Source organism: Homo sapiens, chromosome 14, assembly GCF_000001405.40.
Source record: "Homo sapiens chromosome 14, GRCh38.p14 Primary Assembly".
NCBI classification, from domain to species: domain Eukaryota; kingdom Metazoa; phylum Chordata; class Mammalia; order Primates; family Hominidae; genus Homo; species Homo sapiens.
Genome location: NC_000014.9, coordinates 86,084,199 through 86,110,846, shown reverse-complemented (window position 1 = coordinate 86,110,846; position 26,648 = coordinate 86,084,199). Strand labels below are relative to the sequence as shown.

The 26,648-nt window shown below is 38.4% G+C and overlaps 1 long non-coding RNA gene across 1 annotated transcript in view, besides 1 other annotated feature; it reads right to left on the bottom strand.

The window, feature by feature from the left end:
- Positions 1 to 26,648, bottom strand: part of LINC02328 (long intergenic non-protein coding RNA 2328) — a 195,101-nt gene that overhangs the window by 18,932 nt on the left and 149,521 nt on the right. The window lies entirely within an intron of this gene.
- Positions 9,183 to 9,684: an enhancer, noted in NCBI's record as "H3K4me1 hESC enhancer chr14:86567507-86568008 (GRCh37/hg19 assembly coordinates)". NCBI's record gives its function as "activates a minimal SCP1, AML or CMV promoter by ChIP-STARR-seq in naive H9 embryonic stem cells {active_cell/tissue: H9 hESC(naive)}" and the evidence as "EXISTENCE:reporter gene assay evidence [ECO:0000049][PMID:30033119]".

Sequence of the window (26,648 nt, the reverse complement as noted above, 5' to 3'; positions counted from 1 at the left end):
TGCAGCTGGAGATCTGAGAACGGGCAGACTGCCTCCTCAAGTGGGTCCCTGACCCCTGACCCCCGAGCAGCCTAACTGGCAGGCAACCCCCAGCAGGGGCACACTTACACCTCACACGGCAGGGTATTCCAACAGACCTGCAGCTGAGGGTCCTGTCTGTTAGAAGGAAAACTAACAAACAGAAAGGACACCCACACCAAAAACCCATCTGTACATCACCATCATCAAAGAACAAAAGTAGATAAAACCACAAAGATGGGGAAAAAACAGAACAGAAAAACTGGAAACTCTAAAAAGCAGAGCGCCTCTCCTTCTCCAAAGGAACGCAGTTCCTCAACAGCAACAGAACAAAGCTGGACAGAGAATGACTTTGACGAGCTGAGAGAAGAAGGCTTCAGATGATCAAATTACTCCGAGCTACGGGAGGACATTCAAACCAAAGGCAAAGAAGTTGAAAACTTTGAAAAAAATTTAGAAGAATGTATAACTAGAATAACCAATACAGAGAAATGCTTAAAGGAGCTGATGGAGCTGAAAACCAAGGCTCGAGAACTACGTGAAGAATGCAGAAGCCTCAGGAGCTGACGCGATCAACTGAAAGAAAGCGTATCAGCGATGGAAGATGAAATGAATGAAATGAAGCGAGAAGGGAAGTTTAGAGAAAAAAAGAATAAAAAGAAATGAGCAAAGCCTCCAAGAAATATGAGACTATGTGAAAAGACCAAATCTACGTCTGATTGGTGTACCTGAAAGTGATGTGGAGAATGGAACCAAATTGGAAAACACGCTGCAGGATATTATCCAGGAGAACTTCCCCAATCTAGCAAGGCAGGCCAACATTCAGATTCAGGAAATACAGAGAACGCAACAAAGATACTCCTCGAGAAGAGCAACTCCAAGACACATAATTGTCAGATTCACCAAAGTGGAAATGAAGGAAAAAATGTTAAGGGCAGCCAGAGAGAAAGGTCGGGTTACCCTCAAAGGGAAGCCCATCAGACTAACAGCGGATCTCGCAGCAGAAACCCTACAAGCCAGAAGAGAGTGGGGGCCAATATTCAACATTCTTAAAGAAAACAATTTTCAACCCAGAATTTCATATCCAGCCAAACTAAGCTTCATAAGTGAAGGAGAAATAAAATACTTTACAGACAAGCAAATGCTGAGAGATTTTGTCACCACCAGGCCTGCCCTAAAAGAGCTCCTGAATGAAGTACTAAATATGGAAAGGAAAAACCGGTACCAGCCGCTGCAAAATCATGCCAAAATGTAAAGACCATCAAGACTAGGAAGAAACTGCATCAACTAACCAGCAAAACAACCAGCTAACATCATAATGACAGGATCAAATTCACACATAACAATATTAACTTTAAATGTAAATGGACTAAATGCTCCAATTAAAAGACACAGACTGGCAAATTGGATAAAGAGTCAAGACCCACCAGTGTGCTGTATTCAGGAAACCCATCTCACGTGCAGAGACACACATAGGCTCAAAATAAAAGGATGGAGGAAGATCTACCAAGCAAATGGAAAACAAAAAAAGGCAGGGGTTGCAATCCTAGTCTCTGATAAAACAGACTTTAAACCAACAAAGATCAAAAGAGACAAAGAAGGCCATTACATAATGGTAAAGGGATCAATTCAACAAGAAGAGCTAACTATCCTAAATATATATGCACCCAATACAGGAGCACCCAGATTCATAAAGCAAGTCCTGAATGACCTACAAAGAGACTTAGACTCCCACACATTAATAATGGGAGACTTTAACACCCCACTGTCAACGTTAGACAGATCAACAAGACAGAAAGTCAACAAGGATACCCAGGAATTGAACTCAGCTCTGCACCAAGCGGACCTAAGAGACATCCACAGAACTCTCCACCCCAAATAAACAGAAGATACATTTTTTTCAGCACCACACCACACCTATTCCAAAATTGACCACATACTTGGAAGTAAAGCTCTCCTCAGCAAATGTAAAAGAACAAAAATTATAACAAACTATCTCTCAGACCACAGCACAATCAAACTAGAACTCAGGATTAAGAATCTCACTCAAAACCGCTCAACTACATGGAAACTGAACAACCTGCTCCTGAATGACTACTGGGTACATAACGAAATGAAGGCAGAAATAAAGATGTTCTTTGAAACCAACGAGAACAAAGACACAACATACCAGAATCTCTGGGATGCATTCAAAGCAGTTTGTAGAGGGAAATTTATAGCACTAAATGCCGACAAGAGAAAGCAGGAAAGATCCAAAATTGACACCCTAACATCACAATTAAAAGAACTAGAAAAGCAAGAGCAAACACATTCAAAAGCTAGCAGAAGGCAAGAAATAACTAAAATCAGAGCAGAACTGAAGGAAATAGAGACACAAAAAAACCCTTCAAAAAATTAATGAATCCAGGAGCTGGTTTTTTGAAAGGATCAACAAAATTGATAGACCGCTAGCAAGACTATTAAAGAAAAAAAGAGAGAAGAATCAAATAGATGCAATAAAAAATGACAAAGGGGATATCACCACCGATCCCACAGAAATACAAACTACCATCAGAGAATACTACAAACACCTCTACACAAATAAACTAGAAAATCTAGAAGAAATGGATAAATTCCTCCACACATACACCCTCCCAAGACTAAACCAGGAAGAAGTTGAATCTCTGAATAGACCAATAACAGGAGCTGAAATTGTGGCAATAATCAATGGCTTACCAACCAAAAAGAGTCCAGGACCAGATGGATTCACAGCCGAATTCTATCAGAGGTACAAGGAGGAACTGGTACCATTCCTTCTGAAACTATTCCAATCAATAGAAAAAGAGGGAATCCTCCCTAACTCATTTTATGAAGCCAGCATCATTCTGATACCAAAGCCAGGCAGAGACACAACAAAAAAAAGAGAATTTTAGACCAATATCCTTGATGAACATTGATGCAAAAATCCTCAGTAAAATACTGGCAAACCAAATCCAGCAGCACATCAAAAAGCTTATCCACCATGATCAAGTGGGCTTCATCCCTGGGATGCAAGGCTGGTTCAATATACGCAAATCAATACATGTAATCCAGCATATAAACAGAGCCAAAGACAACAAAACCACATGATTATCTCAATAGATGCAGAAAAAGCCTTTGACAAAATTCAACAAACCTTCATGCTAAAAACTCTCAATAAATTAGGTATTGATGGGACGTATTTCAAAATAATAAGAGCTATCTATGACAAACCCACAGCCAATATCATACTGAATGGGCAAAAACTGGAAGCATTCCCTTTGAAAACTGGCACAAGACAGGGATGCCCTCTCTCACCACTCCTATTCAACATAGTGTTGGAAGTTCTGGCCAGGGCAATCAGCCAGGAGAAGGAAATAAAGGGTATTCAATTAGGAAAAGAGGAAGTCAAATTGTCCCTGTTTGCAGACGACATGATTGTATATCTAGAAAACCCCATTGTCTCAGCCCAAAATCTCCTTAAGCTGATAAGCAACTTCAGCAAAGTCTCAGGATACAAAATCAATGTACAAACATCACAAGCATTCTTATACACCAACAACAGACAAACAGAGAGCCAAATCATGAGTGAACTCCCATTCACAATTGCTTCAAAGAGAATAAAATACCTAGGAATCCAACTTACAAGGGATGTGAAGGACCTCCTCAAGGAGAACTACAAACCACTGCTCAAGGAAATAAAAGAGGATACAAAGAAATGGAAGAACATTCCATGCTCATGGGTAGGAAGAATCAATATCGTGAAAATGGCCATACTGCCCAAGGTAATTTACAGATTCAATGCCATCCCCATCAAGCTACCAATGCCTTTCTTCACAGAATTGGAAAAAACTACTTTAAAGTTCATATGGAACCAAAAAAGAGCCCACATTGCCAAGTCAATCCTAAGCCAAAAGAACAAAGCTGGAGGCATCACACTACCTGACTTCAAACTATACTACAAGGCTACAGTAACCAAAAGAGCATGGTACTGGTACCAAAACAGAGATATAGATCAATGGAACAGAACAGAGCCCTCAGAAATAACGCCGCATATCTACAGCTATCTGATCTTTGACAAACCTGAGAAAAACAAGCAATGGGGAAAGGATTCCCTATTTAATAAATGGTGCTGGGAAAACTGGCTAGCCATATGTAGAAAGCTGAAACTGGATCCCTTCCTTACACCTTATACAAAAATCAATTCAAGATGGATTAAAGACTTAAACCTTAGACCTAAAACCATAAAAACCCTAGAAGAAAACCTAGGTATTACCATTCAGGACATAGGCATGGGCAAGGACTTCATGTCTAAAACACCAAAAGCAATGGCAACAAAAGACAACATTGACAAATGGGATCTCATTAAACTAAAGAGCTTCTGCACAGCAAAAGAAACTACCATCAGAGTGAACAGGCAACCTACAAAATGGGAGAAAATTTTCGCAACCTACTCATCTGACAAAGGGCTAATATCCAGAATCTACAATGAACTCAAACAAATTTACAAGAAGAAAACAAACAACCCCATCAAAAAGTGGGCAAAGGACATGAACAGACACTTCTCAAAAGAAGACATTTATGCAGCCAAAAAACACATGAAAAAATGCTCACCATCACTGGCCATCGGAGAAATGCAAATCAAAACCACAATGAGATACCATCTCACATCACGCCAGTTAGAATGGCAATCATTAAAAAGTCAGGAAACAACAGGTGCTGGAGAGGATGTGGAGAAATAGGAACACTTTTACACTGTTGGTGGGACTGTAAACTAGTTCAACCATTGTGGAAGTCAGTGTGGTGATTCCTCAGTGATCTAGAACTGGAGATACCATTTGACCCAGCCATCCCATTACTGGGTATATACCCAAAGGACTATAAATCATGCTGCTATAAAGACACATGCACACGTATGTTTTTTGCGGCATTATTCACGATAGCAAAGACTTGGAACCAACCCAAATGTCCAACAATGATAGACTGGATTAAGAAAATGTGGCACATATACACCATGGAATACTATGCAGCCATAAAAAATGATGAGTTCATGTCCTTTGTAGGGACATGGATGAAATTGGAAATCATCATTCTCAGTAAACTATCGCAAGAACAAAAAACCAAACACCACATATTCTCACTCATAGGTGGGAACTGAACAATGAGATCACATGGACACAGGAAGGGGAATATCACACTCTGGGGACTGTTGTGGTGTGGGGGGAGGGGGGAGGGATAGCACTGGGAGATATGCCTAATGCTAGATGACGAGATAGTGGGTGCAGCGCACCAGCATGGCACATGTATACATATGTAACTAACCTGCACAATGTGCACATGTACCCTAAAACTTAAAGTATAATAAAAAAAAATTAAAAAAAAAAAAGAATTTCCTATAAAAGCTTCATGTGTTATAAAAAATACTTGCTGGGTCACTGCCCAACCCTGCCTCGTCTTCCCTCACAGGCATGCTGATACTAGTTGTCAATCTCGTTGTAGAAGTACCTTCAGTTTACTTAGCCTACCACCCACACGTGTAGACACTGAGAACAAGGGTAAGAGCCATTCCTTCTGTTGTGGCAACCTTGTGCTTTCCAGGAAACACAAGCATATTTTATATTTGCTTCCTAAACCAATGATTCACAACCATTTTTACACACATACGATCATCTGGAAAGTTTTTACAAAAAGGCAATGTGTGGGCTACTCCCAACCTCACCCCTCTTCCCGACCAAGATTCTGATTTAATTCCTCTGGGGTGAGCTCTCAAAATGAGTATGTTAATAAAAATGTCTTCAAGTGATTTAATTGTAGCCAGAATCTCCATTATAGACTATTCACCAGCCTTCCCTTCTGCCCTGGCAGCTCCCACTTTGTCCTTCCCACCCACTCTGAGCTCTGGAACAGATTTCTTCTCATGTTGTAGCTTGCATGTTTGCTGACCTTTCTGCAAAGTTATCCTCTAAACAATATATTCCCAACATTCCTTCTGGCTTTCAGGCTTAGAGATGTCATCTTTTGCTAGTTTCCAACTCTGCTATCAATTTTTCTTTTTATGCAGTCATTGTAGTGTTCAGTAAAAATTCTGCAAACGATGGGGTAGGGAAGATATAAACAACAGGGTTGAGTTTTGAATCAGAACCAACTCTCAATATGGAATTGTTATCAAATAATTACTATTTGATGATACTTTCAAAGTTCTGATGTAGAAACTGATTCCTATATATTATTCATGCCTAGATAGTAATGACTAAACATCCAAAAAATTAAACTAGATTAAAAGAAAATTAAAATATTTTCTATTTATAAGATAATGTGCATTTTAAAGAATATTTCCATAATATAACAGAAAAAGATCAGAACATATAGTTTATACAGTTTATGATATAATTTTTATTGAAGTTATATCTTTAATTGCTCTAGGATTAATCCAGTGAAATTGTTGATAACAACAATACAAGTAATAATAGTAGAAGCATTTATTGATTTAAATTCAAGAAAAGTAATTGTCTTTCAATTGCCAACATCATCGTCATCAACATCACCACCACCAACATATTTAAAACCTACTAAGTAATTATTATATGCCAGGCTCCGTTCTAAATTCATTAATTTTTAAATCTTTAGAATAATACAATTATGTGAATATTGTTGTCAAATGTTGATGAAACAAAGAGAGAGTTTAAGTTGATAATTTGAGGTCATGGTGTTAGGCGCAGGCAGACAAACTCTTTTACCCTTGTTCAAAGCCACTATGAAGTCCTGTTCGCATGAATGATCTTTATTTTCTTCAGTATGCCTTTGGTTTTATTGTCAACATTTTACTATAATAAATGACTATTATTATTAACAAGAATAAAATGTGAAGTAACAGTTATGAAAAATTTTTAGCTCAAGACAAATAATTACTGGAAGCATTTATGTGGACACTAAAAATATTAAAACATTTGTCAAGTTCATTTGAGATTCTTCATGTGCAAATGTCACATACAGATTTCTCTGAGACAAAAAAAAATATTTTCCATTACTCTTCCAAATGATATTTATTTTTTTCTGCTTTTTAAATGTTGATTCTCGGTCTACATTACTTGGGACTATAGGGCCTCAATTTTAGTTTTATGGAAATTAGATTAAGCTTGCCAAACACTTAATAATCAATTGCCTTGCAAGGAATAGAAATAATCACTTTCATTAATATTTCCCGAAGGATCAGATTTCAATGCAACAACACCCTATGGTTTGGACTGGTTGATGCAAATGTTTAATGTTTGGCAAACAAAGAACCAGCTCTTTCATTTTATTAAGATAGATATCTGTACATATCTTAAATGTGTGTTTTGAGGCATATGGAAGAAGAAAAGAGGTGACGAGTTGCAAATCAAGATAGTATTGAAAATGGTATGTCCACAGTGCTAGATGTCAAGCACTGTGCTTGTCACTATTGACTAAAGATACTGAGATAAGCTCATCTAGTAGAAAGAGAAACTCACTAATAAATAAATGATAATTTGGCATGATTTATATGATTCCTGGTTATGCAGATAGTGTTTGGAGGAAGCACAGAGAACGGAGATGCTAACTCGATACTGGAAACAGTGGAAATACTTTGAATATTAGAACAGGAAGTTGACCATGCCCATCACCAACATTTCCTATACCCTGAGCTAGAGTACAAGTGGAAGCATATATACCATATGTCAAAATATTTAAAGCTTACAAGTCAAAGTAACAAGCTGTTAAATAAAATAGATTTCACTGTATATCCATAACAACATAATAGCAAATACATGTACATCTATGGTGTTTACATAACACAATCAGTCAAACATCAGCAATGACTAATTATTACTACATTTGTCTTGCTGTTCAGTGGATAGGCCAACCGTGTTCTCATGAGTAATAAAATGCTTACAAGATATAGGAAGGATTATATATTTTGTATTTGCTTTTTGTTGCTACATAGCAAATTAGCATAGACTTAGCAGCATAAAACAACACAAATTTCAGATGTTACTTTTTCTAGGGGTCAAAAGTCCAGAAACTAGTTAGTTGGGTCCTCTGTGCAGTCTTACCAGGTTGAAATTGAATTGTTGGCCAAAACTGCAATGTTATCTGAGTCCCCTTCCAATCTCAGTATTATTGCCAGAATTCATTTCCTCGTGGATGTAAGACTAGGGTTCTCATTTTCTTGTTGACTCTCAATCTGAAACCATTCTCCAGCTCCTAGAGTCTGCCTGCACTCCCATCCACATATACAAAGTATATTAGCATGTTTGGCAAACAAAGAACCAGCCCTTTCATTTTATTAAGATAGATTTCCGTACATATCTTAAATGTGTGTTTTGGGGCATATGGAAGAATAAAAGAGGTGACAGTTTAAAAATTAAGATTACTTTCAATGGCAAAAACCGCAATTATTTTTGCATCAAATTTATATATACATATATAAATAGATATATATATAATTATAGATAGATGATAGATAGACAGATAGATAGATGCTTGACATCTAGCACTGTGGACATACCATCTTCAATACTATCTTGATTTGCAACTCGTCACCTCCTTTCTTCTTCCATATGCCTCAAAACACACATTTAAGATATGTACAGATATCTATCTTAATAAAATGAAAGAGCTGGTTCTTTGTTTGCCAAACATGTTAGACATTTACTTCAATGTTAAACATTACACCCTGGTATATATATATATACATACATACATATATGTATATATATACCAGGAGACTAGAATACAGCAAACTCCTTTAAAATAAGTGACTAGATATTTGAGGGAAGATGGCCGAATAGGAACAGCTCCAATCTACAGCTCCCAGCGTGAGCGACGCAGACGACGGGTGATTTCTGCATTTCCATCTGAGGTACCGGGTTCATCTCACTAGGGAGTGCCAGACAGTGGGCGCAGGCCAGTGGGTGCATGCACCGTGTGCCAGCCAAAGCAGGGCGAGGCATTGCCTCACTTGGGAAGCGCAAGGGGTCAGGGAGTTCCCTTTCCTAGTCAAAGAAAGGGGTGACAGACGGCACATGGAAAATCAGGTCACTCCCACCCGAATACTGCGCTTTTCCAAAGGGCTTAAAAAACGGCGCACCAGGAGACTATATCCCGCACCTGGCTTGGAGAGTCCTATGCCCACGGAGTCTCGCTGATTGCTGGCACAACAGTCTGAGATCAAACTGAAGGCTGCAGCGAGGCTGGGGGAGAGGCATCCGCCATTGCCCAGGCTTGCTTAGGTAAACAAAGCAGCCAGGAAGCTCCAACTGGGTGGAGCCCACCACAGCTCAAGGAGGCCTGCCTGCCTCTGTAGGCTCCACCTCTTGGGGGCAGGGCACAGACAAACAAAAAGACAGCAGTAACCTCTGCAGACTTAAATGTCCCTGTCTGACAGCATTGAAGAGAGCAGGGGTTCTCCCAGCACACAGCTGGAGATCTGAGAACGGGCAGACTGCCTCCTCAAGTGGGTCCCTGACCCCTGACCCCCGAGCAGCCTAACTGGCAGGCACCCCCCAGCAGGGGCACACTGACACCTCACATGGCAGGGTACTACAACAGACCTGCAGCTGAGGGTCCTGTCTGTTAGAAGGAAATCTAACAAACAGAAAGGACACCCACACCAAAAAACCATCTGTATATCACCATCATCAAAGAAAGACCAAAAGTAGATAAAACCACAAAGATGGGGAAAAAACAGAACAGAAAAACTGGAAACTCTAAAAAGCAGAGTGCCTCTCCTCCTCCAAAGGAACGCAGTTCCTAACCAGCAACAGAACAAAGCTGGACAGAGAATGACTTTGACGAGCTGAGAGAAGAAGGCTTCAGATGATCAAATTACTCCGAGCTACAAGAGGACATTCAAACCAAAGGCAAAGAAGTTGAAAACTTTAAACAAAATTTAGAAGAATGTATAACTAGAATAACCAATACAGAGAAGTGCTTAAAGGAGCTGATGAAGCTGAAAACCAAGGCTCGAGAACTACGTAAAGAATGCAGAAGCCTCAGGAGCCGACGCGATCAACTGGAAGAAAGGGTATCAGTGATGGAAGATGAAATGAATGAAATGAAGCGAGAAGGGAAGTTTAGAGAAAAAAGAATAAAAAGAAACGAGCAAAGCCTCCAAGAAATATGGGACTATGTGAAAAGACCAAATCTACGTCTGATTGGTGTACCTGAAAGTAACGAGGAGAATGGAACCAAGTTGGAAAACACGCTGCAGCATATTATCCAGGAGAACTTCCCCAATCTACCAAGGCAGGCCAACATTCAGATTCAGGAAATACAGAGAATGCCACAAAGATACTCCTCGAGAAGAGCAACTCCAAGACACATAATTGTCAGATTCACCAAAGTTGAAATGAAGGAAAAAATGTTAAGGGCAGCCAGAGAGAAAGGTCGGGTTACCCTCAAAGGGAAGCCCATCAGACTAACAGCGGATCTTGCAGTCGAAACCCTACAAGCCAAAGAGAAAGGTCGTGTTACCCTCAAAGGGAAGCCCATCAGACTAACAGTGGATCTCTCAGCAGAAACCCTACAAGCCAGAAGAGAGTGGGGGCCAATATTCAACATTCTTACAGAAAACAATTTTCAACCCAGAATTTCATATCCAGCCAAACTAAGCTTCATAAGTGAAGGAGAAATAAAATACTTTACAGACAAGCAAATGCTGAGAGATTTTGTCACCACCAGGCCTGCCCTAAAAGAGCTCCTGAATGAAGTACTAAATATGGAAAGGAAAAACCGGTACCAGCCGCTGCAAAATCATGCCAAAATGTAAAGACCATCGAGACTAGGAAGAAACTGCATCAACTAATGAGCAAAATAACCAGCTAACATCATCATGACAGGATCAGATTCACACATAACAATATTAACTTTAAATGTAAATGGACTAAATGCTCCAATTAAAAGACACAGACTGGCAAATTGGATAAAGAGTCAAGACCCACCAGTGTGCTGTATTCAGGAAACCCATCTCACGTGCAGAGACACATAGGCTCAAAATAAAAGGATGGAGGAAGATCTACCAAGCAAATGGAAAACAAAAAAAGGCAGGGGTTGCAATCCTAGTCTCTGATAAAACAGACTTTAAACCAACAAAGATCAAAAGAGACAAAGAAGGCCATTACATAATGGTAAAGGGATCAATTCAACAAGAAGAGCTAACTATCCTAAATATAAATGCACCCAATACAGGAGCACCCAGATTCATAAAACAAGTCCTGAGTGACCTACAAAGAGACTTAGACTCCCACACATTAATAATGGGAGACCTTAACATGCCACTGTCAACATTAGACAGATAAATGAGACAGAAAGTCAACGAGCATACCCAGGAATTGAACTCAGCTCTGCACCAAGTGGACCTAATAGACATCTACAGAACTCTCCACCCAAAATAAACAGAAGATACATTTTTTTCAGCACCACATCACACCTATTCCAAAATTGACCACATACTTGGAAGTAAAGCTCTCCTCAGCAAATGTAAAAGAACAGAAATTATAACAAACTATCTCTCAGACCACAGCGCAATCAAACTAGAACTCAGGATTAAGAATCTCACTCAAAACCGCTCAACTACATGGAAACTGAACAACCTGCTCCTGAATGACTACTGGGTACATAACGAAATGAAGGCAGAAATAAAGATGTTCTTTGAAACCAGCGAGAACAAAGACACAACATACCAGAATCTCTGGGAGGCATTCAAAGCAGTGTGTAGAGGGAAATTTACAGCACTAAATGCCCACAAGAGAAAGCAGGAAAGATCCAAAATTGACACCCTAACATCACAATTAAAAGAACTAGAAAAGCAAGAGCAAACACATTCAAAAGCTAGCAGAAGGCAAGAAATAACTAAAATCAGAGCAGAACTGAAGGAAATAGAGACACAAAAAAACCCTTCAAAAAATTAATGAATCCAGGAGCTGGTTTTTTGAAAGGATCAACAAAATTGATAGACTGTTAGCAAGACTAATAAAGAAAAAAAGAGAGAACAATCAAATAGATGCAATAAAAAATGACAAAGGGGATATCACCACCGATCCCACAGAAATACAAACTACCATCAGAGAATACTACAAACACCTCTACACAAATAAACTAGAAAATCTAGAAGAAATGGATAAATTCCTCCACACATACACCCTCCCAAGACTAAACCAGGAAGAAGTTGAATCTCTGAATAGACCAATAACAGGAGCTGAAATTGTGGCAATAATCAATGGCTTGCCAACCAAAAAGAGTCCAGGACCAGATGGATTCACAGCCGAATTCTACCAGAGGTACAAGGAGGAACTGGTACCATTCCTTCTGAAACTATTCCAATCAATAGAAAAAGAGGGAATCCTCCCTAACTCATTTTATGAAGCCAGCATCATTCTGATACCAAAGCCAGGCAGAGACACAACAAAAAAAAGAGAATTTTAGACCAATATCCTTGATGAACATTGATGCAAAAATCCTCAGTAAAATACTGGCAAACCAAATCCAGCAGCACATCAAAAAGCTTATCCACCATGATCAAGTGGGCTTCATCCCTGGGATGCAAGGCTGGTTCAATATACGCAAATCAATACATGTAATCCAGCATATAAACAGAGCCAAAGACAAAAACCACATGATTATCTCAATAGATGCAGAAAAAGCCTTTGACAAAATTCAACAAACCTTCATGCTAAAAACTCTCAATAAATTAGGTATTGATGGGACGTATTTCAAAATAATAAGAGCTATCTATGACAAACCCACAGCCAATATCATACTGAATGGGCAAAAACTGGAAGCATTCCCTTTGAAAACTGGCACAAGACAGGGATGCCCTCTCTCACCACTCCTATTCAACATAGTGTTGGAAGTTCTGGCCAGGGCTATCAGGCAGGAGAAAGAAATAAAGGATATTCAATTAGGAAAAGAGGAAGTCAAATTGTCCCTGTTTGCAGACGACATGATTGTATATCTAGAAAACCCCATTGTCTCAGCCCAAAATCTCCTTAAGCTGATAAGCAACTTCAGCAAAGTCTCAGGATACAAAATCAATGTACAAAAATCACAAGCATTCTTATACACCAACAATAGACAAACAGAGAGCCAAATCATGAGTGAACTCCCATTCACAATTGCTTCAAAGAGAATAAAATACCTAGGAATACAACTTACAAGGGATGTGAAGGACCTCTTCAAGGAGAACTACAAACCACTGCTCAAGGAAATAAAAGAGGATACAAACAAATGGAAGAACATTCCATGCTCATGGGTAGGAAGAATCAATATCGTGAAAATGACCATACTGCCCAAGGTAATTTACAGATTCAGTGCCATCCCCATCAAGCTACCAATCACTTTCTTCACAGAATTGGAAAATAGTACTTTAAAATTCATATGGAACCAAAAAAGAGCCCGCATCGCCAAGTCAATCCTAAGCCAAAAGAACAAAGCTGGAGGCATCACAATACCTGACTTCAAACTATACTACAAGGCTACAGTAACCAAAACAGCATGGTACTGGTACCAAAACAGAGATATAGATCAAAGGAACAGAACAGAGCCCTCAGAAATAATGCCGCATATCTACAACTATCTGATTTTTGACAAACCTGAGAAAAACAAGCAATGGGGAAAGGATTCCCTATTTAATAAATGGTGCTGGGAAAACTGGCTAGCCATATGTAGAAAGCTGAAACTGGATCCCTTCCTTACACCTTATACAAAAATCAATTCAAGATGGATTAAAGACTGAAACGTTAGACCTAAAACCATAAAAACCCTAGAAGAAAACCTAGGTATTACCATTCAGGACATAGGCATGGGCAAGGACTTCATGTCTAAAACACCAAAAGCAATGGCAACAAAAGCCAAAATTGACAAATGGGATCTCATTAAACTAAAGAGCTTCTGCACAGCAAAAGAAACTACCATCAGAGTGAACAGGCAACCTACAAAATGGGAGAAAATTTTCGCAACCTACTCATCTGACAAAGGGCTAATATCCAGAATCTACAATGAACTCAAACAAATTTACAAAAAAAAACAACCCCATCAAAAAGTGGGCGAAGGACGTGAACAGACACTTCTCAAAAGAAGACATTTATGCAGCCAAAAAACACATGAATATATGCTCACCATCACTGGCCATCAGGGAAATGCAAATCAAAACCACAATGAGATACCATCTCACATCACGCCAGTTAGAATGACGGTCATTAAAAAGTCAGGAAACAACAGGTGCTGGAGAGCATGTGGAGAAATAGGAACACTTTTACACTGTTGGTGGGACTGTAAACTAGTTCAACCATTGTGGAAGTCAGTGTGGGGATTCCTCAGGGATCTGGAACTGGAAATACCATTTGACCCAGCCATCCCATTACTGGGTATATACCCAAAGGACTATAAATGATGCTGCTATAAAGACACATGCACACGTATGTTTATTGTGGCATTATTCACAATAGCAAAGATTTGGAACCAACCCAAATGTCCAACAATGATAGACTGGATTAAGAAAATGTGGCACATATACACCATGGAATACTATGCAGCCATAAAAATGATGAGTTCATGTCCTTTGTAGGGACATGGATGAAATTGGAAATCATCATTCTCAGTATAACTATCGCAAGAACAAAAAACCAAACACCGCATATTCTCACTCATAGGTGGGAATTGAACAATGAGAACACATGGACACAGGAAGGGGAACATCACACTCTGGGGACTGTTGTGGGGTGGGGGGAGGGGGGAGGGATACCACTGGGAGATATACCTAATGCTAGATGACGAGTTAGTGGGTGCAGCGCACCAGCATGGCACATGTATACATATGTAACTAACCTGCACATTGTGCACATGTACCCTAAAACTTAAAGTATAATAATAATAAAAAATAAATAAATAAAAAATAAAATAAAATAAAATAAGTGACTAAATATTACATTAGTATTTAGGAAACACATAATTCCTTGGATCCTTTATGTAAAATAAGAATGTTGGCAGGGCATGGTGGCCTGTAATCCCAGCACTTTGGGAGGCTGAGGTGGGTGGATTACAAGGTCAGGAGTTCAAGATAAGCCTGACCAAGACGGTAAACCCCATCTCTGCTAAAAATACAAAATTAGTCAGGCATGGTGGCGGACGCCTGTGGTCCCAACTACTCAGGAGTCTGAGGCAGGGGAATTGTTTGAACCCAGGAGAAAGAGGTTGCAGTGAACCAAGATCACGTCACTGCAGTCCAGCCTGGGCAACAGAGTGAGACTCCATCTCAAAAAAAAAAAAAAAAAGAAAAGAAAAAGAATGTTGATAACAATTTTAATGTTTGAGGAAGAGTAATTTTAATATTTTGATAGAAGTATCTCCAAGATGTCCCAAGAAGAAAATGTCATTGAAAGTAAAACATCAAAATATAAATTCATGGAAAGAAAATTAATCTGTGTACTTCACTCTGATTTCGAGAAATAAACTCTCCTCATGATCAAATTCTCATCTTCTGTATACTTTACTTGATTCTTGGGCTAAGCCTGCTAAAATAAAATGGACCATAAACATTATTATCCTTCATGCCTGTATTTTACATTTTTGGTAACTCTTGACAATGTAATAGCTGTAAAACAGATTTTTCACATTTTTGTAAAATACAATGGATTTGTATTCTCCCAGAAAACCAGATAAGCCAGCAAGATTGGCCTAAAAGGTCAAGTCTAGTAAACATTCAGTCAATCTCATATCAAATGTTTAAAACTAATTCAATAACTGCTCTTAGGATTAAGAAAGAAAAATCCATTCAGCATACAATTGTGTTGCCTTCTTCTTTAGTAGTTTTACCACATCAAGGAGCTGTGTTGAGTTCTTGGTTAAAACAAAGAAAAATATTCAAGTGAGAGCTGACGTGTCCACAGAAGTACGACACATTAATTGGTTGATTAATGATGAATATTTACCTGTTGATAGGCTACACTTTGCTATTGGTGACTTTTAATTCAGCCTGAATAGGTGCAACTCTTTCAAAATAGACAGTGACATTATAGACACTAAAGCTGTCAGAATTTGATGAAGAGGAAATGTGGCCTCTGCCATTGGCCTATTAATGGCTTTGCCATGTAAGTGATGTCATACACTTCTCTCTACTATTTCATTTAATAATGCACAAAATGAGTGTCATAATAAATGCACATCCTTCTGGAGCTCAGTGCAGGAGGCATCAAAAGAACAGCTATTTTTAAACACCTTTGTTCCTCCCAGGCAAAGGTTGGAGCCAGTTTATAACAAAATCTCACCTACATCTCTCAGATGCAAGCTGGAGGTCAGCAACAGAGAACACAGTGACTGCGGCAACTAAAAGATCTATTAAACATCTACATACATGTTTGAAAAGATTGTAGACCTATCTTTTACTCATCTGGACTCTATGGTTGAAAATGTTGAGCTGGGGTTATCAGTCTCTCATTACAAAACTCACCAAGTAAAAAAGCCTAAGATTAAAAGTCATCAGGTCATCTTTGTTCTAATAATATTGCTTCTGATTTCATGCTTGAAGCTTATTTTGTTAAAATTGAACAAATGTTGCACTGTGCCTCAATGTAATTTTTACAAAATGCTCAATTTTGTATTCTAAAGACTGACACATAGATATATACATTTTTATTACAACTATGCATGCCACTTTTTTGCTAAGTTATATTCACAATAATTTCTCTTGAAGTTGATGGCATTTTAAAAGTCTTAGAAATGCAGTATGTGGAGATTAAACCATAAAGGTTGTTGTCTGAGTTTTTGAAGATGATTTCAAAGTCACTATTAATTTTCAGTTTATCAGGTAAAAGATAAACAATGAGGGAGGTTATTTCTTTTTTTTTTTTTTTTTTTTTTTTTTTTTGAGACGGAGTCTCGCTCCGTCGCCCAGGCCAGACTGCGGACTGCAGTGGCGCAATCTCGGCTCACTGCAAGCTCCGCTTCCCGGGTTCACGCCATTCTCCTGCCTCAGCCTCCCGAGTAGCTGGGACTACAGGCGCCTGCCACCGCGCCCGGCTAATTTTTTGTATTTTTAGTAGAGACGGGGTTTCACCTTGTTAGCCAGGATGGTCTCGATCTCCTGACCTCATGATCCACCCGCCTTGGCCTCCCAACGTGCTGGGATTACAGGCGTGAGCCACCGCGCCCGGCCGAGGGAGGTTATTTCTTAGAACTCATCATTTATCCAGCCTGACCAGTACCTTAACAACTCCACAAAAGCTAATTAGAAGTTAAGGGAAACTAGAAAGGTTTTTGATTGCTAAAATTTTTTCTTTTAATTCGCATCCTCTACCACGATGTAACAAGTGAATGTCAATGTAGAGAAAACATATGTACACAAGACTAGATGGTGCAGACTATTCTCCATGAAACTGAGAATGAGCTGTTTTCAAGCTGATCATCAGTTTTATATAATTATCTCTAAGGCTTACTAGTTAGAAGTTCAAATTCAATGTTTCAGAGAAATTACATCAGATACTTTATTTTCAATTTAATTTTAATTTTGTATTGTATTTCCTTAAAACATTAAACAATATCCATTGAAAATAGCATGATCAAATAATAAAAGAAATGAACCCAACACATCAATGACTTCAGTTGAGAAGCTCACACTCTGACCCATTTGGAAATTCGTAGGTGGTAAATGCTGAATTAGTCTATCCTTATGCTCACTCATCAAGTATACTATAATCTATGTATTATCTACCCCCATAGCTTTATACCAAACTGCTAAATAAGCTTTCTCATATTCTGATGGTTTTCATGTACTATGATCTTATATGATTTTTGATAACTCCAGTGTTCTTTTGGTTTCATTCTGTGTTAGTCAGTTCTCACACTGCTAATAAAGACATCCCTGAGACTGGGTAATTTATAAAGAAAAAAAGGTTTAATGGATTCACAGTTCCACATGGCTGGGGAGGCCTCACAATCATGGCAGAAGGCAAAGGAGGAGCAAAGTCATATGTTACATGGCAGCAGGCAAGAGAGAACTTGTGCAGGGGAACTCCCCTTTATGAAGCCATCAGATCTCATGAGACTTATTCACTATCATGAGAACAGCATGGGGGTAACCGCCCCCATGATTCAATTACCTCCCACCAGGTCCCTCCCACATGTGGGAATTACGGGAGCTACAATTCAAGATGAGATTTGGGTGAGGACCACACCCAAACCATATCACCTTCCTTCACTCATCTTGTTGTTTACTCACCATGATTCAATTACCTCCCACCGGGTCCCTCCAAGAACATGTGGGAATTATGGGAGCTGCAATTCAAGATGAGATTTGGGTGGGGACACAGCCAAACCATATTACCTTTCTTCACTCATCTTGTTTACTTACCCCTATAATAGAATGTCTTTTTTTTTCTTTTTTGGGGTCTGCGTATCCTCATGAGAGTTCTAGTGAAAGCCAAGAGCTAAGCCTCTGATAAAAGAAGCTAAGAAACCCAAAAAAGTTGACCTTTGGCATTTAGTAGGAAGAGGCCAGAGGTTAAAAGAGATGATCTGGATATAAATTTTGACTCTGCAGCTAGTGCCCAATATAGACTCTGTGTGACCATTTAGAATTTGGAAGTGGGTAATGGTACATTATTTCTAGAATCAGTGGTCACAGTGGAATCAGAGACAGTTTCTGACATCTGTGGTAGTGACAGTGGCAATTTAGCCAGACTGTTCCTGTGCTGTGTCCTTAGCTACTTTTGTAGCCACCCAGTGAGGGTAACCAGTAGTTCTAGTTTGCAAAGGACTGAGGGATTTTTCAAGGTATCAACTTTCAGTGCTAAAATAGGGAGATCCCTGGGAAAACCAGGATGAGTCATTACCTTGCATCCAGCTCCTCAAGTTTCTTTCTCATTATCTGAAGTTGATTCTTCAGCCTCCCAATGGATTCTGTGACCTATCTATGTTACTTCCTTAAGAAGTCCTTTCTTGTTAAAATTAGCAGCATCTCTTGTTGATGTCTGCATTAAAAAACCGTCACTGGTATAGAAATTGGGTACAGAAAGTGGGTTGCAGGCAAGAAACCCTCAGGGAAAACAGGTAATCTGGTATTGGTTACCTGCCAAGTGAAAATATAATTACTATTTAGAGAAAAGATAGGAGATGAAACAGAAAGCTAAGTTCTCACTGGTTATAGACGGAAATTAAGTGCTTATTGAGGGTTGGCCTTAAGAAAACAAAATGATAGTTGCTATAGAAAGAACATGAAATTTTGAGAACTCTGATTGTGGAGCATTGCTTTGAACAAGTCTAAACAGCTGAATACCCCACCATGCTACAACCTCTGACTACCTGGTAAAATAACTAAACCCTAAGAATCTTCCAGGACTATGATAAAGAATCTCTCATTCTTAGCAGCTACAGAATAAAAGTGATAAAAATCTAAATGCAAAGTTCAAGGCTTCATGTTGCTGAATTACAAAAGGAGTCAAATTCATAGTCTTTCCTAATATCGTCTGCAAAATTTCAGATATTGATAAGAGGTGGGATCCTGATATTGAGACAGAGTTACAAGGCACGATGTAGTGCATTTGGGATGCTCCAATGCCCAGTCTCCACCAAACCGCCTGTGTCACCCAAAGAACTTCTGCTTTGCTTGAAAATGTTTATGACTTCCTCACTTGAAGGAATTACCCTGAATCTAAAACCAAATCTTCTTCATGAGCTCTCAGCCAGTCTCCCAATCCTTTTGTCTCCATTTCTATAGCTAGAATAAGCTCCCAGTTTATTTTGGAAACAAATGTTTACATTTTTAAAATGTTAGGCCCAGCACGCTGGCTCACGCCTGTAATCCCAGCACTTTGGGAGGCCAAGGAGTGTGGATCACCTAAGGTCAGGAGTTCGAGACAAGCCTGGCCTACGTGGTGAAACCCTGTCTCTACTGAAAATATAAAAATTAGCTGGATGTGGTGGCAGGGGCCTGTAATCCCAGCTACTTGGGAGGCTGAGGCAGGTGAATCACTTGAACCTGGGTGGCGCAGGTTGCAGTGAGCCAAGATCGTGCCATTGCACTCCTGCCTGGGTGACAAGAGAGAAACTTCATCTCAAATAAATAAATAAATAAATAAATAAATAAATAAATAAAATGTTGGTGGAGTTTGTTCATTTGATTTGCAAAATTCTGGTGAAAATATCAAAATAGATCCTGAGAGTATTTGATGAAGGATAGGAGAATATAATGTTTTGGTTAAGTTGAGTTAAGTTGACTTCATCACCATGAGTGCACTTAACAAAGACTTGATTCCACGTGTTGATTTTAGCAGTTACAATCTGGATTCCGTCATAGCTCATTACATCACTGAGATGATAAATACCATTTGGTAGATCATAGAATAAGAAATCAAGAAGCCAAGAAAGATTATAAAAACTGAGTGAAATTTTCTTGCTCAGTCATTCAACCATTAACTATGGTTAGTGAGAACCCAGAATGTACCTTCTACACCAAAGCCTTTTAAAATGCATTGGTAGGAAAAGAACAAACGTTTCTAAAAATTATTTTAGTAGGTGGTAGGTGATGGGGCCATCAAAATGGTCTCCCTGACATAATGGGAATAAAAAGATTCCAGAGTTGAGGAGGTCGAAGACCAACATGACTTTCAGAGGTAAGTTGAGTGTGGGGGCCATGAGAGGCAGCAGACCACCAAGGGAACCTAAATGTTGAGGCTTGCAGAGGTAATTGACAGCACTTAAGTAATTATAGGGGCTGTAGAGCACATATCATCAAGATGGGCATCCCATCGAGGTCCTACTTGATTTTTATAACCAATCATGGTAGATGCTTGTGACTTCTCACCCAATTTCTATTTTAAAATTATTCCATGTACCTACAAACCCAGAAAAGGCCTGGTAACTTTGAGAAAGTAACTGTTATCTTCACAAATGGTAAAGATAAGCTTCTATAAAGGTTCTATAAATCTTCTTCCTTAAGGAAGGAGATGGAGAAATACAGAGAAAATGTTTTTTTTGTTGTTGTTGTTTTGTTTTTTTGTTTTTTTTTTTGCAGTAGGGGATGCTGGATCTCCTGGCTTCCATTAACTCTTGAGATTACAGAAAGTCAATGTGACCTAGAGATGCAACTTATAAGGGGTAGCAACAAACTGCATTATAATATTTGTCTATAATATTATAGGCTTACTAGGAGTCAAAAAATATCACATGCACACTTACCCAATTCAAAAATGCATGTTTGAAGTATGTCCTTAGAAACTGGCAGGTTCCCATATTAGCCCCCTGGACCATAAGCTGTTCTGATGTGAAAGGTTATAAAGAAGTCTCTGGAATGTTTTTTAAAAGTCAAAGTAAATAATACTATAATAGAGTTGACTCTTGGATAACATGAGTTTCAACTGCATGAATCCAATTATACATTGATTTTCTTCCACTTCTGCAACATGTGACACAACAAGACCAATTCCTTTTCCCATCAATCTACTCAACATGAAGACAACAAAGATGAAGGCCTTTATGATAATCCACTTTCACTTAATGAATACCAAATGTTTACTCTTCTTTTAGATTTTGTTAATAATACTTTTTTCTAGCTTACTTTATTGTAGTAACACAGCATATAATATATATAAAAACTATGTTTTAATCAACTGTTTATGTTATCAGAAAGCCTCTGGTCAATAGTAGGCTGTTAGAAAAGGTCTTAGGGAGTCAAAATCTATACACAAATTTTTGAATGTCAAGAGGTCAGTCCCCAAATGCCTGCATTGAGCAAGGGTCAATTGTGATTATATTTCTAGTGGAATCACAAACATTACCACCAATATCAAAGATGTAAAATTTGCAAGGCAGGACTCCAATCACATTCCTTCTATCTCTCCAGCTCAGCTGGTACAGAAGTAGATAGGTTTCGGAGACCAGCAAGGACTATCAATAAACATAGTCAGATAAAGACTTTAATTGCAGCTGATGCTGCAAATGAGTAAAATCTTGATACCTGGCATGAATGAAGTATGTTCTTTTTTCTATATCTACTTTACTGTCATTTCGAAGGAATATATATTTTCATTATTTTGTCTCAGGATCAACTCAGCTCTCTTACTCTGAGACACAATTTAGTTGGCAGGAACTCTGACCATTTTACAATCCAATCCATAGAACCTTATACAAGTCTTCATCATTTACCATATTATCTTAATTGTATTTCGAGACTGTGAAGAAATCGAGTCTTAGACACGTTCAAGAGGCAGAGTGATTAAACATCATGAAAAAACAGAGGTGTTTGCTAGCTCTAAAGTTTCTGGGGATCAAGGAATCTGTGGTGTGTCAGGATACTATCTGTAAAGTAAAGGACTCATCGCTGCTCCTGGACCACTTATTGTTATGTAATGGTCTCCTGAATTTAGAGTTAACATGCAACACATTTGGATGAGAAGCTTGGTTACATTAACCAGTAACCAAGGAGGCTGTCAACTATGGGTGTGACCCAGGGCCAGAAAAATATCTTCAGCTGGTTTTGATTAAAGTGCAAAGTGCCCTTCTTTTTGACCCAGCTAATTCTATGACTGATGAAAATGCTGAGAAAAGGGCTGTATGAAGTTTATAAGATTATGAGGCAAAGCTATGCTTTATTAGGCATGAGTTTATTTTCTTTTTGAGACAAAGTTCTGGCTCTGGTAGAGGCTGCATATAAGACCACATAGCCTCAGCAGTCAGCCAAGAATGGAATGCTCCCCCACCGAACTAGTTGAAGTTCAGCATAAATATCTTATTTATGTTGTAAATAAGTTGTATAAATACTTTATTTTACTTTTATATTAGCCTACTGAGGTAGGTGATATTGCCCATATTCTTTGCCCAGAAACAAATAAAAGTTAACAAAGTTATACATACATACATACATATATAAAACTCATAAAAGATCCCAACAATGCAAGTCAATTGCATTCCGAATGAACTGTTAACTGAAGTGAGAAAAAACTCCTCATCTGCAGAATAACTAAAGTTGATTTCATATACCATGATTTGTTTCTGTTGTTGTTGTTTTTTAATCTTTTCCATTGTCTCTGTTTGGTTTCATCTTTTGCTTTTCTCTGTTCTTCTAAATTCAAGGAACAGAAGGCATCCTGGGAGGTGTACTTTTTACAAACCCTTTAAACCTTTCTGAGGGAAACTTTGAATTCTTCACAACTAGGCACACGAAATTGAGATAAAATATCTTTGAAAACAGCAAAAGCTCTTGCCTCCAGAACTGAAAGTGGTGTTGGTAATGAAACACAATAGCTTGTTTTTTTGTGGCTTTCATAGAAGTACCCAACCTACTTCCCAAACTGTCATGCATAATTTGATACAAATGGGGTATCTGCCTTTTTGGATGAAACACAGAACAGAACTGGCAGGGAGAAAACCTGTAAATTATTGTGAAGGTGGTCGACTCCCTGGGACTCAGGATAAGAGTAATTAGCTGGAAAGTTCATACTTTAATTTGCCTGAAGAGAAACAAATGAAAAAAATTATATACTCTCTGTGTGTGTGAGAGTGTGTGTGTGTGTGTGTGTATTCACATTTTCAGCATGACTGTTGCTTTAATCTGCCAGGGGTTCAGTTTTCTCTCCCCCACTTTAAGTAAAATCCAGGTGCTGCTGCCAATATTATAATACTTATTTAATAGGCAGCAGTGGGTGGCAGCCACTTTTTTTAACCTCCTGGATCTCTCTTATTCCTTGCCAGACAAAGCGTTCACCCCTTACATTCACTGAACTTTGCAGAACAAGTCAGCTCTAAGATGATTTTGCATGCCTCTTATTTTGCAACTCCTAGTAATTTGCTCACCAAATAACAGAAAGCCCAGTTATTTGCTGCTAGCATGAAGGCAGTTTCCTCTAGTTGGAAATACAGAATTCATCACATAGATCTCAAATCTTAAGTATAATGCTACATTTTTCAACATTTTAATTTTTTCTGTGCCAATTAAGGTCATAGTATATTTTCATATTTCACCCTTCACATTTTCTTCTCATTGCTTTTCTGAGAGCAATGCATTTTGTATTTATTTTTCATTTGAAAAATGTTGACAAATTTTTTCTCCTGTCAAATCGAGGTTGTGACAGAAAATAAAGTGTAAATGCATATCTGTGTAAATTTTACAAAGTAGTCAAAATGATAGACTGCATTTTAATAAAATTGAGAAATTAATGTGATGGGCGAGTGTATTTCTCTCTCAAAGATTGTTTGAAAGATAGGCATGGAATCTAATAGAGTAGACTCTTAATGGAGTAGACTCTTTAATTCATGGATACCAACACTGTCTTGCATTTTAAGGTGAAATTATATGCTAAAATATAACTTCAAATGGCCTCATCCCCCTCAAAGGCAGCAGTACAGAAGAAATAGAAACGTATGGACACATATACACCATGGAATACTATGCAGCCATAAAAGGATGAGTTCATGTCCTTTGTAGGGACATGGATGAAGCTGGAAACCACCATTTTCAGCAAACTATCACAAAGACAGAAAACCAAACAACGCATGTTCTCACTCATAGGTGGGAATTGAGCAATGAGAACACTTGGACACAGGGTGGGGAACATCACACACCGGGGCCTGTCAGGGAGTGGGGGGCTGGGGAGGGATAGCATTAGGGGATATACCTAATGTAAATGAAGAGTTGATGGGTGCAGCAAACCAGCATAGCACATGTATACTATGTATCAAACCTGCATGTTGTGCACTTGTACCCTAGAACTTAAACTATAATAAAAAATAAAAATAAACTAAAATAATAAAGTATGTTCTATGCATATGAATATACTTAGCTTTTAAAATTATAATATATATACAATTTTTGAACTTGCTTTCTAAAAAATATAAGAATAAATATTTCCTTGTTGGTACAAAAAAAAGGAACATATGTAATGCAGATGTCTCCTCCCTGGCATCCTTGTCAGACCCTCCTCTTTCTGGAGCCCCTCCCATGGGACTGGTACCCAGGGCCTTACTCCCCATCCTCTCTCACCAGTCTGGTACAGCTACCAATATCTCCTACATTTACCCCAAACCAGCCACATCTTTACCCATGATTTCCAACTCCTGCCCTCTGACATGAGAGTAGCCCCTAAACATATTGCCTTTCTCCCAGCTTCAGTGAGAAAGGATATTCCAAATATCCCCCCACACCTTGTCTGCCCCTTTCAGTATAGTGAGAGGTAAAGTGGGGACATTCTAACTTGCCAGGCCCCTCTCTCTTCTTTTTTTTTTTGCCAACAGTCACCTCTCACGTTGTACCCTCTGCTCATATTCACTAGGAAAGTGAATCCTTCCCTCTCGTGCCTGGAAGCTCGGGATTCATATTCTTGTCTTGGGGAATGGCAAATTGCAGGATGTTACACAACTTGGGGGAGCCACATTAAAGAAAAGAGGAATGGTGACTTCTCTCTATGCTGTCTGGAACAAGTTCCTTACTACCTTATGATAGTACCTCATGACTTGAATGACTTCTAGAGGAGTCAGCACCTAAGAAACAAGAAATTTTGTTTTCTTCTGTTTTTTCAATGAACAAATAACTTGTCCAAGATTTTTTTGTGTCTCTCATTGTGTATAATACTATATTGGGCATATAGCAGGTGCCTAATGCTTAATACCTTTAAAAGAAAGCAGAACATCAGGTGGAAGGAAGAATTTTAGTTTTGAATCTTTAAGTATCTTGATTTTCTTATATCCCTGAAAAATAAAGAAAGAAAACATTCCCTCTTTGTAAATATTCTCTATTTGTAAATAGAGAGTAGTCAAAGCATGAAACACTGTCCAGTTTATACTTATCAAAGAAGAATCTTTATGTTTCTAATATATGCATACATTAATGTAATACCTTTATTTTGAATTAAAAAAAGATTTAGGAAGAAAAGAAAAAGGAGTAGTTCTTGTCCTTTTGAGAAGTAGAAATATACTTCTCTACTTCATTTTCCTGCAGGGCAAGACACTGAGAAACCGAGTTTAAAATCACGGGAACTACTCTGTGAGTGTTTTAGCCCCTCTAAAGCTGAAATATGTGAATTAGGTGAGATAAAATAAATAGTTCTATAGACACTGCCCTCAAAAGCATCTGTTAATTCTAACTGGGAAATAGTTAAGGGAGGTGAATATAGGTTGATTTTTTACACATTTGTTTAGACATCTTGTTTACAAATTTATTTAGAAGTCTTTGTTTAGGAACAAAGAAATTGACTTTGCCTAATCAAAGTTGAATTCAAATGAATTATTAGGCATTTCATAAAAAATGTTACTAATTTTTTTGTAGTATACCTGACATTCTGTCATAGAAATCTGACCTAAACTCTCAACAGAGCACTGTAGTGGCCCACCTGCTAGTGTGTCTTTGTACTCATTTCTAATTACATACATGCACATTCCAAAGAAAATGGAGTTATAATCAATATATTTAGGCAGAGAGCGAAAATCATTCACAAAATTAGTAAATTTAGTCTTATGATATGCATACATCAAAATACAGCTGGTTGACCAGATGTTTCACTTATTTTCCTGGATATATTATGATTGTGGTTGGCTCTTTTTTTCAGCACTAATACAGTTCAGTTTCTCTTTCTAAAAATAACCTTATCAGATGCCAACTATAAATGTGTATGTCAGTTTTGGGGAATTGA